A 15,910-nucleotide genomic window follows, 5' to 3' on the forward strand; every position below is an offset into this window, starting at 1 on the left:
TGAATAGATGTTGGATGAATAAATGAATATGTTATAGTGATTTTTAGCCATTAGGCATGAATTGTGAGAAAGAGAATTGCAGAAAGAAACAGTTGGAGAGTAAGATCTTGAAGTTGAAGTTATGAAAGAATTGCAATTTTGATAATAGCAAGGTCTAGAATATAAGCATGGAAAGGAAAGCACAAGGTCGATTTGAGAATAAAATCATTGAAGGAGAAAAATTCAAGATATTTAGAGATACTGGAATATCATCTACATGGTTATTGAAGTCATCAACTCTTGTGACATAGGTAGGGATGGAGAAAGGGCGAGACAATGGACCAGGAACTAACAATTTCTAGAGTCAGGATATGCACATGACTGAATAAAGGAAAGGTAGTGAGTGGTACAGTCGGTCTTAAAGCAAAATTTGTTTAAACGAAACCTAGAAAGCTGAATCCTATATACTGCATACAATGAAATAAGAAAATTATTTAGAAATTTTTAAATGCTCTCAAGCTGTAATAATGATGCCTATATAAATTAATATAATTTAGAACATAAGTTTTTTTTTACTCCTTTTGTACGTCCATTTGTGACAATGTAATATAATTCAAATAAGTAGATAAGAGAAAGTCTTAATATTTTACATGACAATAAGCAATTTAAAAGCAGATATTTAGGGAACAACATAAGGAATAATTGCTAAGAAGATACGTTCTCCATTTGCTACCACAGGAAGTTAATGATGCTTGAACAGAGTTTGAAGATTCATTCCTCATTTGTATTTAAAATGACTTTCCATCTAGTAAACAAATGTTATGTCAGAATCATAGAACTTTCATAACTTTATTAACAAATTGTTTCTCATTTAGTCCATGCTAATAGGCAGCCAATTTAGTTATTAACATAACACTTTCTTGTAAAAATAGACAACTGCCTCAAACATAGTGAAAATAACAATCTGGTAAATTTTCTAGTGCAGAATCAAACTGATTTATTTTTTGAGAAGATAATTCTGTTTTTCAGAAAAACAGAAAGGCATGCTTTACAAATATGAAACATTATTTAAATGCATTCATGTGCTATTCAGAAAAGTAAAAAATATGCTCATTTACTCCCACAAATTTTCTCCACAAGATTACTCATTTATCAGTTTTAAATCTCATTCAAACTACATGCTAAATAACCAAAAATCTGTGTGCAACTGGATAAGAGCAAAAGGGTCCCTAAAATTGTCAATGTTTCTAAAATATGAATACTAAAATGTATTCTAAATAAATCAAAGAGTAATTATTGCTAGATATCTCTGGTTTAAAATGCATCAGTGCTTAATTGGCTTTTTCTTATGTTATAATCTTACATTCCTCCTCCTCACCTATCCTCCAAAATGCATGAAAATACACACATTTAATTTTTTTTTATGCTACCTGAATGTGGCTATAGTTCATTTTTCTGAAACCTGGCATGTCACACTATTAGATTAGGTATAGGTGATTTTAAGTATCATTTAGTCACATATTTCATTCATTGTAAGAGAGTAGCATGCAAAAACTATATCCAAATAAATTAGTGTCATATAGATTCACAGATTAATGTCTATACGAGAATGATTTAATTGATAAAATATTTGTGACATCAATCTGAGTTAGCTACATTCTGGAAAATCACTCGGATCTGGCCTTGTACCTGCAGGATGCATTAACCAGCGTCTTCAGACTACTTGGGTTACGTATCAGCTTGTCCAACATGTTGACTATTTCATCAAACTTGGGCCTGCTATTTCGCTCTTTCTGCCAGCAATCCAGCATTAACTGATAGAGAGCAGCAGGACAATCCATGGGGCTTGGCAGACGATAGCCTTCCTCTACCGCTTTAATCACCTGTATAAAGCAAAACAGAACCAGCACCCCAACACCACAAATTTAGTATAGAATAGCTTTAAAAATGTCCCACTGTCCAACTTTTATCCTTTCTTATCCTTACTCTTGCAATAACAACTAGCATTACTGTCTTTAAAATCCACGGCTATTTCCATTTGCTGCAAAATACAACATAAAATAAATATACTATCATAATATAAAAAGATAGGCTTTCTTCACGTATTATAAATAAAATAAATGGTAATCATTTTTTCTTAAAATCTTGGTGAAGGGTGATTTGTAAAATTAATTGACATAAAATATACAGTTCATGTTTTATTTATCCTTGCACTCCAGAATCAAATAGAGATTAAATTTTCTAGTGATTTTTCTGAAAAGTTAATGTCTTTTTAATGAAAAACTATGTGCACAGCCACATTTTTAAAGTAATAGAACTGTAATTTTACTTCAAAAGAGACTTTTCGATGGTAAATGATGGATAAGTCAAAGGCTAAATTAGCATAACTGTCTCATGTATCATTTAATAATGTCAAGGTCTGACTGTTTATTATCATCTGCTGATTTCTGTCAGGAATCTGGAATGACTGTCTAGTAGCACAAGAATTATAAATATCCTTGATTTTAAATGTAACCACACATATGAGTATCAGCCTAATTGTGAGGTCATTTTATCAAAACCATTTGTAATGTTGCTGCCCACATCAAAATACCTAACTTAAGAAGAAATTTGTTTATGCTACCAAACACAGCAATACAGGTTTATTTTATTATTAAAATTCAAATATTTGAGTGATACTAAAACAAATATTAATGAACATATTTCTCAATATCTTATTTTGCATATTTCTTTAACAATTAGTCTTAATTATACTTTTTCACAAAGAATTCAGAATTGATTTGATAAATGGAAAAAATGATTAGCATAGGAAATTTACAAAGATAATTTTAATTTTTTTTTCTTTTTCTGCTGGCACATAATAATTGTACATATTTATGGAATACAGAATGATCTTTCAACACAGGTATAAAATATATAATGATCAAATCAGGGCAATGAGCATACCCATTACCTCAAACATTTATTACCTGTGTTGTGAATATTCAAAGTCCTCTCTACTAGCTTGTTGAAAATATACAAGAAGTTATTGGTAAGCATATTAACCCCGCAGTGCTGCAGAACACAAGAATTCATTCCTTCTACTTCGCTGTAATTTCGTATCCCTTAACCAGCATCTCCCCCTCCTCCCTTCCCCTTCCTCTTCCTGGCCTCTGATAGCCACATTCTATCTACCCTTCTACTTCCATAAACTTATTTTTTTTCAAAGACAATTTTTAAGCATTGGAAAGAAAGCATTCTCCTTATGATAAATAAAATGGCACCTGACCCAGTGCAGGGGCAGATGGAAAGAAGATTAAACGGTACTTTTAAAGTAGTTAAAACCAAGCAAATTCAAGCCTATCACATTTGATGGTAATTTCTGTTAACTTTAGGCAAGCACATTTCTGAGGGTAGAAAATGTTGTCAGATATAATTTGGGACTTCTTTTATTTGAAGTGAGTAGAGAATACCCAGATGGCAATTTGCAGGAATCTGGCTAGAGCATAGGAGATAGCTGGACTGATAATATAAAGGTAAGGGTCATCAGCACTTGGCCACAGCTGATGTAGTTTATATCCCCCCTGGAAAAGCATATAATAAAAATTATTAGAAATACCAAAAGCTAAGTGCAAGCAGAGAAATAAAAAGTACTCAAGGACTCCAAAATTAAATGGTCAGATAAATTCAATAACTTTGAGCAAAAGTCCTAAGAGCAGCCTACTACCTTAATTAATTTACCTCAAAAACAATATAGTAATTATAAGGCAAACTCCAGGAGAAAATGTTTTCAGTAATTATAACATATAATTAACATAACTTATTAAAATTTATACATATTGAGAAATAAAATAATAAAACAACAGATACATGAGAAACATACTAGCCAATAATTTAAGAAAGAAATAACAATGCTAAACAAGCCTTGAAAAAATATTTATTCTCACTAATGATCAAATAAAGAAATATTTTTAAAAATTATCATTTGCACACATAGATCGATAGAAGTTTATTTATTGGTTTGCTGATTATAAGATTTTCCATGGCTGATAATAAGGACAGTTTTTATTCCCTTTAACAGCATATAGGTATCAAAATAAAGCATCCTAATATAAATGGCTTAAGTCATGTAATATATTTGCTATACAGTGAGAATAGTAATTCTTATTTATTCAAAACATGGTTTATTTCATAATTTGCCCTTTCTCCAAAGCTGCTACCAATTAATTCGATTTTTTTCTTTAGCACCCTTTTTTTTTCAATAATCCTTCCTCCACTAAGCACAACAATACAGATGTTTACCTTAAACACCTTAAGAAGTTATTTGACCTGTGAAGATATTTCTAGAATTTATTTCTTATTCGGTCTTATTTTCGGGTAAATTTATACTTAGAAATACAGTGCTCTGTCTCTATATCAACTTAGAACTGGGTCCAGGTAATTAGGTCATGAAATTTAATTCTAAATTAATTGTTAGAATTTATTTTAAAAATAGATTTGGAACTATAACTTCACATTTTATATTAGAAGTTTCCTTTTTTTTCCATTTCTAATGATTCTTTATAATAGTTTTGGGGGAAATAGATAGCATTACTACTCTGGTAGGTTGTAAAATGATGGAAATCTACCAAAAATGACCAAAGTGCAATTTAGGTGTTCATTTTCCCATGCAACTTGTAACATATAACCAAATGAGTTATAATCTCGATGGACTTTCTCATTACTATTAGATTTGTTGATACAGGTGGCTGAGATGAACAAAGTAAAGAAAAGACAATTAGAATGAGAATTTTTACAGGCAAGCTGGCACCAGTTCAGATGTGCTATATCTGAAATAGTATAATATGCTATGCATTTTCTTGGCATTGGCATGTAAACTGATAGTCTGAACACAATACTGCCTCTCTTTCCAATTCCTAAAAACATAACTTAGCCCCCTATATAGTATTATTCATTTGATGGCAGGGTGGCTCTCTGGGCTCCTTCTATCACATAAGTGTCATTGGGTTAGCATTTTTAGGTGTATATACCTGTTGTGGGTATGGTTGCTTTTCCCACCCACAGACCCTCAGCCAGCAATAGGAGTTTTGAAAGGCTTTATTCACAAACACAGAATTCCACATAGTATATCACCCATCCAGAGTATGCCTTTTGCAGTAAAGAATGTATGGGGACTTAACTATCACAAATAGTTAAGTCCTCACTTAATATCATGGATACGTTCTGGAAACTGTGACTTTCAGTGAAACAAAGTATAATGAAACCAATTTAACTATAACTTTGTTGATATAAATAAACAAGAGTTAAGCTCTTAGGGCATATTTCTGGTCACAAAAACATAACTAAACTTCTAATAATGACCCAAAACACCTCTATTATTAAACACTGAAATAAATGTGAGCTATACATACATTTAAGAAAAAGTGACAAAAACAGGTAAGATAATTGCTTATTTGCTTATTCCATTTTAGGGCTGCAGGTGGCTGGAGCCTATCCCAGCAGCTCAGGGCACAAGGTGGGAAACAACCTTGGCCAGGACACCATCCCTTTGCAGGACACACTCACACTCATGCCACACTCACTTGGACTGGGACCATGTAGACACACCAATTAATCTAAAGGGCATTGTATATGGAAGGAAACCCACACAGACATGGGGAGAACCCGCATGGTCCACACAGACAGTGGCCCTGGCTGTGAGTTGATATATTTGTTTTTCTTATCAACGTTATAACAAAGTGCTGTTGAACAAAATTATGTTATTTCAAGAACTTTTGTACTTCATGAAGTGCTGATAAATTTGTAACAACTCACTCTCCCTGGGGGAGGACAAATTTGTAATATTGTATCGTGACATGGTATAAATACTCTCTCTATGCCAATTGTAAGCTACTAACATGGTCTCATTCAAGTAGAAATATTCTAAAAATATGCTAGCTGGTACAAGCTTGTTGGGGCACACCAGCACACATAGTTCATTATCCAGAAGCAACAAGACACAGCTGAAGCACCAACATGGAGATAAGATTCTGAAAGTATGGGTGTTATTCTTCATGTTGCGATATATATATAGTCAGAGACTTCTGTGTTGTGCTCCATTCCCAGTGACTCTTGCCAGAAAACACAGCAAAGCTCCATTGAACTAACAGTTATGAATTACTCATGCAAAGAGATCAGCAGAAAAGAAGTCACCATAATGGCAAGGATAACTGATACAGAGCAGCAGGAAGCAGTTGGACTTCTTTCTCACAGTGGGGGCAGGGAGAAATATGTGTGAAACCCCAAGAATGAGGAATTAGATCAGACCACCAGTTAAGCTACCATGACCTGCCAAGATCATAGTGAGGGGGATTCAGAGTGGATAGTGGAGGAGGGGGAGGATAAGGACCAGGTGACATCCTATGATCAACTATAGCTACAGGCTGCAGTTCATTTAGTAACCTGCCTTTTCTGAATTCTTTCTTAGGAGGAAGTGCCCACAGAACCATGAAACAGATGTTTTCTGAACCTATGCGAAGTAAGTGTGTCATGGCAAGAGAATAGAGCATGTCAATCATAAACATTTGTCTCTAGGCTCTTCAACTGCAGAGATAGTAATTGGCCAACAACACTAGCTGCTGTGCTGTAAAGCCCTTCATCACATGTGCACCTGCATAAAGCTTACTTTATGCACGTTGCTTCCAGGCAATTATGGAGTATGGCAAGGATAATAAGACTCCTTTAGAACGGCATTTCTACTCCATAGCTTGCAACCAATCATCCTTCCTTCCTTCCATCTCTACTGTACCTAGGGACATACCTGTGTCACAGTCTGACATCTATCCCGGCTTCCCTTCATCCCTCCTCAATTTTTCTTAGAAAAATTTTCCTCAATATCTAATTATTTCCTGTTGACATAGGTTTCTTGGAGGGCTGGAGGGCCTAGATTAGCCTATGGATTATGTCAGTCATAGCCATGCAGGCTGTTTTTAATTATCTAAATTCATCCATATTACAAATCTACAAGATAAAAATTATTATACACATTTCACATATGAAACACCTCAGGTTCCAAATAATCAGAAGGTTTAAGAAATTGCCCAGCTAGGAAGTGGGGGTGGCAGGATTCACAAATTAAGTATTTTTGTCATGAAAACCTGTGGTCTTTCCATCTTGGTGCTGAGTCACACCATTGAAATTAGAAATCATCATCGCTACACTTCAACACACACCAAATAAAATAATTTGAGAGAGATATGAATGTCACCCCATAGAATCATATTTATTTGCATCATAAATAAATATACATATGAATGCCACCCTATAGAATCATATTTATTTGCACCATAAATAAATAGATATTTACATATTATATATATTATATTTATATAAATTATTGTGTGTGTATATGTATATATGTTATATATCTCTCTCTCCAGAATTACAATGAGCTATTTTGGAAGATAGTGCATTCTTCATCACAGGAGATGTGAAAATGTAGGCTTGAAAACTGAGTGGCAGGAAGATTAGGAAGATTATAGGAATTCAAGCATCAGCTGTGTGTTTCCATGAATTAAGTTCTATCTAGGGCTTGAGTACCTATGTTGCTAGGCATTTACTTGAAATCTCACATATAGGAGCTGTTACTATGAGATATGAAGCTCCCTACAAATGACTAGAGTTTATGAATATATTTCTGGAAGCAAACCCAGATGACATAGAAATAGTTTCAGATATATCAGTTTTATTCTAAGATTCTAAGATATATCCGTTTTTATTCTAAGATAGTTATTAAAGATATATTATGTTTTTTTCTTAGTGCATCAATCTTAGATCAGTAGACTTCCAGAGATTAAAGAGATCTTAGAAATCTTCTGTTGAAGCCTATTCCCTTTATAATCATTGAAACTGACCAAGAGTTGTAGAATCCAAGATGACTGGTTTAAGTCCAAGATTTTTGTTTTGTTGTTGTTGTTGTTAAACATCCAGGTACAGAAATCTTGAGCTGAAGAACTGATAATTTTTTATGTGTCATTTTTTTCAAAAGCATAAGAATTTTCATGAGGCTACTAGTTCCTAAAATAATTACTTACATCCAAGGGCGGCATTATCCTTAAAAGATGAATATTCTTTGGTCAAAGACACTCATTTTAGATTACATAGCAATGAGGCTAAGGAGTCAAATAATTCGCTTACTGTCAAATCTTAGTAATTTGCAGCATTTGGATGAGAACTAAATTCCTCATACCCCTTCTTTAGTTAATTACAACATACTGACTCTTTATTTTAGCAAGAAATATGTCTATAATATAAGCAATATACATAAACATATAAGGAATATGTATACATATGTATATGTATGTATATCTGATGTGCCAGATATACATATATACATATATCAGCAGTATAAATTATATGTATATGAGCAATATACATAAACATATAAGGAATATATGTTTATGTATATACATCAACATATACAATATACATAAACATATAAGCAATATACATAAACATAAAAGGAATATGTATATGAGCAATATACATACACATATAATTTATACTGCTGATGTATGTATATATGTATATCTGGCACATCAGAAATGAAACAAGGAATAGAAGGAGGAAGAGAGGCACACCCAGTACAAAGCTAGTTGATCTTTTCTGGAGTCAAATAGTCTTTCTGCTTTACAAGTAAGATCTGGGCCAACAGAAGTAGTAATAAAACGACTGGATTAAAACTGGCCAGAAAAAGAAAGCACAGAATCTGACTTCCTAAAACCAAAAAAGGCAAAAATCCTTCCAATATAAGAAGATTAAAAAACAGGCTACTTAAATTAGTTTTCAAAATATTGTGCAATCTATGTACTTAGTAGAATCTATACAGTCATATACTCTGCAATAAATATAAGAGAAAGACCTTGTCACTAAAAATAAAAATACAACAAAATGAAATCTTTAGTTTTTATTTTAGCTTCTGAAAACTGTTGACATTTAAAGTGTTTACTATCAATAAATAGGCTTCTACTGACTACATGATATTATCTTAGCTTCTGAGCTTGAATCAGAGTTCATGGTCTGGTATTTACCTAAAATCTCCTTAGTTGTTCTAGTTTATTTTCATTATTGTCATTACAGGTTTTCTTCCTGATGGAAGAGGCAATCCTAAATCCCAGGACTCCTACTGCTGCATTTTGTCCTCCTGACACAGAGGAAGATCTCCTCTGTGAGATTTAGATTATCCTGCATGCCTTGGTAACGTAACATTTTCATGGTGGCAAAGCCCTTTAAGAATCAGATAGCATCTGGAATGTAGAGATTATGGAATATATCATTTGAAATTGCCAAATCAGCACTTCTACTTTGTTTTCTGAGAATTTTTCTCCAAAGAAATATTTAGTGATTGAAATCATTAAATATAGTTGATTTGTCATGTTTCTTGGATACAAAATTTGGACAGAAATTAAGGCATAGGAAATTTAATGCTGTATCTGAAAACTAAAATGCCACTTATGAACTAATTGAGAAAGTAACAATGCATGCATTGGACATTGTATTATAGACAGATATTTTAGAATGATCTTTAATTGTATGATCATTTTCTGTAAACCTCATTTAAATTCTTAGAAAACCAAGTAAAAGCCAAAATATTAGTGTTTTTTTTTTCTTTAAACTTCCTGAAAGGTTACATAAGCAATTTCTAGTGTTTTTCTAAGTAATTTGAAATACAGTTATCTGAAAGAGTATCAAGACACTCAAATAGCTGAAATCAGGAAAATAAAATTAAAGGCACAAGGAAAAATAAAAATCACAAAGAAAGTACTATGAGAGTAAAAATAGATGATACTATAATGTTAAAGAAGTGATTAAGCATTAGATAAATGAACTTTTATTCACTTATCTATGCAACTTTGTAGTGCCCATCCACAAAGAGTAGTGTCATTGACTCAGCACTTTGATTATGGGATTGGCCAATGAGATTTTAGCAGACATGTTGCAGGCTGAGATGTAATTGGGCTCCTTCTTACTCTTCAGCCATTTTGCAAATGAGATCACGTTTGGGCTAGCTGCTGGTCTCAGGAGGAAAATAAGAGACTTGTGGAGGAGAGCCAAGGCATACTAATACAGACCCACTGGCCCTCAGGAACATAAGAAAGCCTAGTCAAGATGAGCAGTTATGAACATTCACCTAGCACCAGTGTTTGCACTGGTGTATAATTGTGTCTGTGACAGATACAACTGTATTAGGCATCATTCCTTATAACGTGGATGATCTGCTGCACAGCTGGGAAAAACTAATAATTCTGAGTGACAGGATCAGAATTCAAAATATCTCAAGTGTGAATAGAAGTTAACCAGGCAAATAAGGGATGAATGTTTCCCTTGAGTGAAGTAGACACGTGGTAGAAACCAGTATATCAAGGCTCGCTGCCAGGATGGATTAAAATACTTTCACAAAAATTAAAGGGAAGAATGGCATTGCAATGAGGTTTAGATAAGTTAGAAATGAAACCACGCAGTGTTCTGCAGGGCCTGTTAACATTTGGCATTTATCTGAAGAATAGAAAGTAGTAAATGGGTCTGGTCTTAGTCTAGACTAAGATCAAGATCAATCCAGAGTAATCATATATTCAATTGAACATTTTATATTTTATATTAAATTAGAAAGCTGATGTCGGACTATTGGTTAGAAATGAAAGAGAGGTAGGAGACATTGATTCAATTGGAGACAGTGTGATGCTTAGATACAAAAATTTTGGAGAACCAGATTGAAATTTCTGGTATCACTTTCATTATTTCTGTGATGGTAAATAAGTCATTTAACATCTCCAAGCTTCAGTTTCTTAATTGTAAAACAGTAACAATAATAGCATCCCTCTGACACAAGGTTGTTAAATATAAGTATAAATATATGTAACAGGAATTGAATGACACAGTTTTGTCATAGTCCCGCCCCTAAAATCATAAAGCTGAAGACAATATATACCATTTTCCCAGATTTAGAGAAATGCTAGTCAGTGCTCCCCTCCCCAAGCCAAGTAAGCAGGGCATAAAGAAAACCAATTTTAGCAATTTTAAGTGACTACAAGAAGGGGAGACTCATTGTCATCCGGTGTGCTTGCTGAGAAGCAGAAATCCATAACTCCAATTTGCTGTTTCGATCAAAGAAGAATGCTATGAAATCATTCGTGGGAAAGCTGATGTGTGACCCTGGCTTTTCTTCTGGGGAAATTTGAAGAAGGCTGGCTGGAGCAGCCTGCAACAGATATCTGCAAAGAGAAGGCACTGCTAGTGCATCCAATAAGAATGTGTGTCCCTCCAATAAAGTGGACACAGCTGGAACAGTAAGAGACTGTCAGATGGGGAACAGACAGAGAGCGAGAGGAACTATGGAAAGTCGGAGGACATCCTCCTCCTCTAGGGCCCTTGCAGAGAAAAGGGCTTCATCAAGGGTCTTTGGAAGAGCTCAGACAGATAACTCACTTGAGAACTAATGCCTAGGCAATTTGTCTCACAGGAGGCATCAATATCCTCACATTAGGAAAGCAATCATGCCTCTTCTTTTTCTTTTCTTTTCTTTTTTTTTCTTGAGACAGAGTCTCGCTCTGTCGCCCAGGCTGGTGTGCAGTGGCGCAATCTCGGCTCACTGCAAGCTCTGCCTCCCGGGTTCATGCCATTCTCCTGCTTCAGCCTCTCGAGTAGCTGGGACTACAGGCGCCCGCCACCACGCCCGGCTAATTTTTTGTATTTTTAGTAGAGACAGAGTTTCACCGTATTAGCCAGGATGGTCTGACCTCACGATCCACCCGTCTCGGCCTCCCAAAGTGCTGGGATTACAGGCATGAGCCACCGCGGCCAGCCCGTGCCTCTTCTTTTCTCTCTCTTTTTTTTTTTTCTAATTTGTAGTTCTTTTATTTAAAAAGTTAAACATTTTTTCATACATTTATTGGCCATCTGCATTCCATCCAATGTATCTTGCCAAATCTTATGCTTTGCCTATTGTTTCTATTTTTCTTAATGCTTTATTAAGTCTCATTGTATAAGTAAGTACATTATACTTTTGTTTATAATGCAGTATTGAAAATATTTACTCAGTCTAAACTTGTATTTCTTACTTTTTGTTGTGCATTTTTCAACACATAAATTTATAATTTTGTTAGTGAAAACTATCAAACTCTTTTCTTAAATGGCTTATGGATTTTTCCTGTTTTTAAAGAAAGGCTAAATATAATCAAAATTTTTCTTCTATTATTTTATATTCTGATTTTGACATTTCAATATTTATTCCACCTCACATGTATATTTTATATATACATGGTGTGAAGTTGGGGTTTCATTTTGTCTTTTTTTATTATTATATTTTAAGTTCTAGGACTTCATGACTAAAACACCAAAAGCAATGGCAACAAAAGGCAAAATTGACAAATGGGATCTAATTAAACTAAAGAACTTCTGCACAGCAAAAGAGACTACCATCAGAGTGAACAGGCAACATGCAGAGTGGGAGAAAATTTTTGCAATCTACCCATCTGACAAATGGCTAACATCCAGAATCTACAAAGAACTTAAACAAATTTACAAGAAAAAAATCAAACAACCCCATCAAAAAATGGGCAAAGGATATGAACAGACACTTCTCAAAAGAAGACATTTATGACCTTCTTTTCTACCTTTCCACCCAAACCAATCCTGAAGAATCCTGATATAGACTTTGGCAGAGGAGGAGGGGCAAATACTTGATTCACACTGTAGGTACCTACAATTAGTCTAGGCCTCCAGTTGTGGAAGACACTTTGAAATGAATATAGGATCCACTTTTAGGTTGGACTCGAATTTTTAGATTGGAAAGTGAGTGTTAATTACAGGCATTGTTGTTTCAACAAAATTCAGCTGGAGAGCTATATAGTATCTGTCTAACCAACCCTGAAGGCATGAGAGAGGGAGGTTTTATGGAGCATGGATGACAGAAATAATGCGAGTGAAAAAGTGTTTCAAATAAGCACATTATTAAATTAAAACTGTTCAATATACTAGCTTTACAATGAAGTAATAAAATAGTTGGTAAAGCACTTAAAATAGTGTATGTCTCATGATAAGGGCTCAATAAATGTTAGCTGCTTTTATAATTGTTGTTTCTCAAAATAAAAATATGAAATTTCCATATGATCCAAAATAGAAAGGGCTGTATTGAATAGTAATGATGGAAAATTACAAAGGGAAAGATTAAAGAGCCATGTGTCAGGCATCACATAATAAACGCTGTGAATTTGAACAGAAGATTCTTTCATAGTTCCTTTAATTTTAGGATTCTATTATTGTAAGTATGAATTATTTTTCCATTGTGGGGAAAATCTGGTATTTCTTTCAAGTTAAATAAACAATACAACTCTTCTTACATTTTTTAATTTAAAGAAACGTAGACTATTCCTTTTTATCCTCTAAGAGCATCCACTATTAAATCAATATCATCATCCTATTGGTTTGGAGTATTAGCTGCCTTTATCAAATGCAAATCATAAAAACTTGCCTGTCAGTATTCATTCTTTGATGGCTCTTTCTTTATCTTTGAAAATGATACTGACAAGAATTGAGTGAAACATCACTACAGTACAGCTAAAACTGTCTGGCAAGGGACTGAGTTTTTATATAACTGTAACTTACTTTCCTTTGTAATAACTCATTTTGAGCTCCTGCTTAAAGGATATTTCAACAACACAAAACAGATCAGAGGGTAAGCAAAGTATTTCATTTTCTTAAGCAACTGTCACTTTCAGAAATGAAAAACATTGTGTCTTGACTCAGAGAACAAAGCATTTCATTGTCAAGTTGGGAAAGAGTAGTTCCATACTCACATCTTGATTGGTCATCTCCCAGTAGGGTCTCTCTCCATAAGACACAACTTCCCACATTACTATTCCATAACTCCAGACATCACTGGCAGAAGTAAACTTTCGGAAAGCTATTGCTTCTGGGGCAGTCCATCTGATTGGAATTTTTCCTCCCTAAAATTGAAAAAGATTTAAAAAACTTCCTACATACTTCAAATGTGCCTAGGGACAGTGTTGCCTCACTGAAAAGATCTAGACAGAGATGTAGCATTTTTAAGTGAATCTGTTTGACAGCGCGCAGTGTCTTTTCAAATCTCTCAGCCCATAAGCAGTTGTAGACTACTAATTGGCTGTCTAGAAGGTTTCTAGTTTAAATTCTGTGTGACTACTGAAATACATACAGAAACCACATCTCAATTACAGTCCTCAGTATAGCAGCTCTAAGTAAGGGAAAGCAGGCAGTCAAGCAAACCAATAAGGTATACTCTCATGACTTTCTAACAGAGTAAAAGACTCAAATTCCCTGGGTGCTTCGTTTCTTTAATACAGAAATTGTAAGTGGAAATTATAGGTTGATGAATGTGACCCTGAGCTGTTTAGCAGTTAATAAGAAAAGCATAAACATTGGAGATATATATATATATATATATATATATATATATATATATAAAATATATATGTGTGTGTATATATATGTGTGTGTATATATATGTGTGTGCATATATATATGTGTATATATATGTGTGTGCATGTGTGTGTGTGTGTATATATATATATATATATATATTTTTTTTTTTTTTTTTTGAGACAGGGTCTCGCTCTGTCTCCTAGGCTGGAGTGCAGTGGTGAGATTTCCACTCACTGTAACCCCCACCTCCCAGGTTCAAGTGATTCTCATACTTCAGCCTCCCGAGTAGCTGGGACTACAGATGTGCGCTATCATGCCTGGCTAATTTTTGTATTTTTAGTAGAGACAGGGGTTTGCCATGTTGGCTAGGCTGCTCTCCAACTCCTGACCTCAAGTGATTCACCCACCTTAGCCTCCCAAAGTGCTGGGATTACAGGCGTGAGCTACTGGGCCCAGCATAATATTGGATATATTAAAACAAAGTTACACTTTCCCTTGACGTTGTGTTATTTCTTTTAGACTTGCTTTTCTCTTTTCCTCTGTTGTCTTATTTTGTTTTTGTTTGGTTCAACTGTTTAAGAGGAGGGTGTCTTGTTTGACTAAACCAAATTAAAAATTATTGAAATTGGATTGGGGGAAAATCTTACTACATTATCAAGTTGTTTTTTATGGCATAAAAATTGATTTGGAGACTTTCTCTTAGTTCATACAATAAACACTTTTATAATATGCCTCTTTCAGGGTGAAATTATTATTCTCTTAGCTTCAATAGCAGGCAAATCTAGATAATCAAATATTTCATCTATCATCAAATATATATTGAAAGAGAAAGAGGTGAAGGTTTCCAATATTTTCTTGTAAAAAGACTAACATGTGCCTTCCCATTTTGCAGGAAGGGAAAGATTTAATTTACATTGCAAGGGAAAAAATAGGACTTAAATTGCTGTTTATGAACCAAAGTTTCAATATATATAAGGAAATAACAGTTTGGGGTCATACTAAAAATTATTTTGGGAATTGAAGTTAGGTTTGAATTATTTGCTCTTTAGATATATGGTAACATCATTTGAAGAAGACTTACCTGAAACTTATTCTCATTCGTTAAATATTCATAGGCAAGATTGTATTATGAGTCCTAGCTATGCATAGATATTCTATAATGTCTTATTAATATTCCTTTTAGAATTGTCATTTGTTGATTATATTAAACCTTAGCCCATAATTTTTCTCCTGATCCTCTGATCATCCTTCATGTCTTCAATAAATCTCAAGTTCCTTATGTTCTCATCTCTCAGTGTATAGATTTTCCACAGGCTGCCACTATACCCCATTTCAGAGGAATAAGCCTTGAAGGTTTCAGGTTCTCTGTCTCTCACTTTACTCTGTAGCATAACACACTAACACAAATCTTGAAAAATCTACTTTTTACACTTAACTAAGACACCCACCAATCACACTGGCAATGGATAGTTGTATAACCTCAATCTTGATCAGGCAAAATTTATTAAAGGTAACT

The 15,910-nt window shown here is 34.1% G+C and overlaps 1 protein-coding gene across 13 annotated transcripts in view; it reads right to left on the minus strand.

The window, feature by feature from the left end:
* The window catches only part of EPHA5 (EPH receptor A5), a 350,923-nt gene that overhangs the window by 14,697 nt on the left and 320,316 nt on the right, over positions 1-15,910 (minus strand). For all 13 annotated transcript variants that reach the window (NM_001437320.1, NM_001437321.1, NM_001437313.1 and 10 more), the window contains 2 exons: positions 13,791-13,940; positions 1,669-1,862 (listed from right to left, as the gene is read on the minus strand). In NM_001437320.1, coding sequence (NP_001424249.1) covers positions 1,669-1,862; positions 13,791-13,940 — 344 coding nt within the window. The remainder of the gene's footprint in view (positions 1-1,668; positions 1,863-13,790; positions 13,941-15,910) is intronic.

This window comes from Homo sapiens, chromosome 4, assembly GCF_000001405.40.
Source record: "Homo sapiens chromosome 4, GRCh38.p14 Primary Assembly".
NCBI classification, from domain to species: Eukaryota; Metazoa; Chordata; class Mammalia; order Primates; family Hominidae; genus Homo; species Homo sapiens.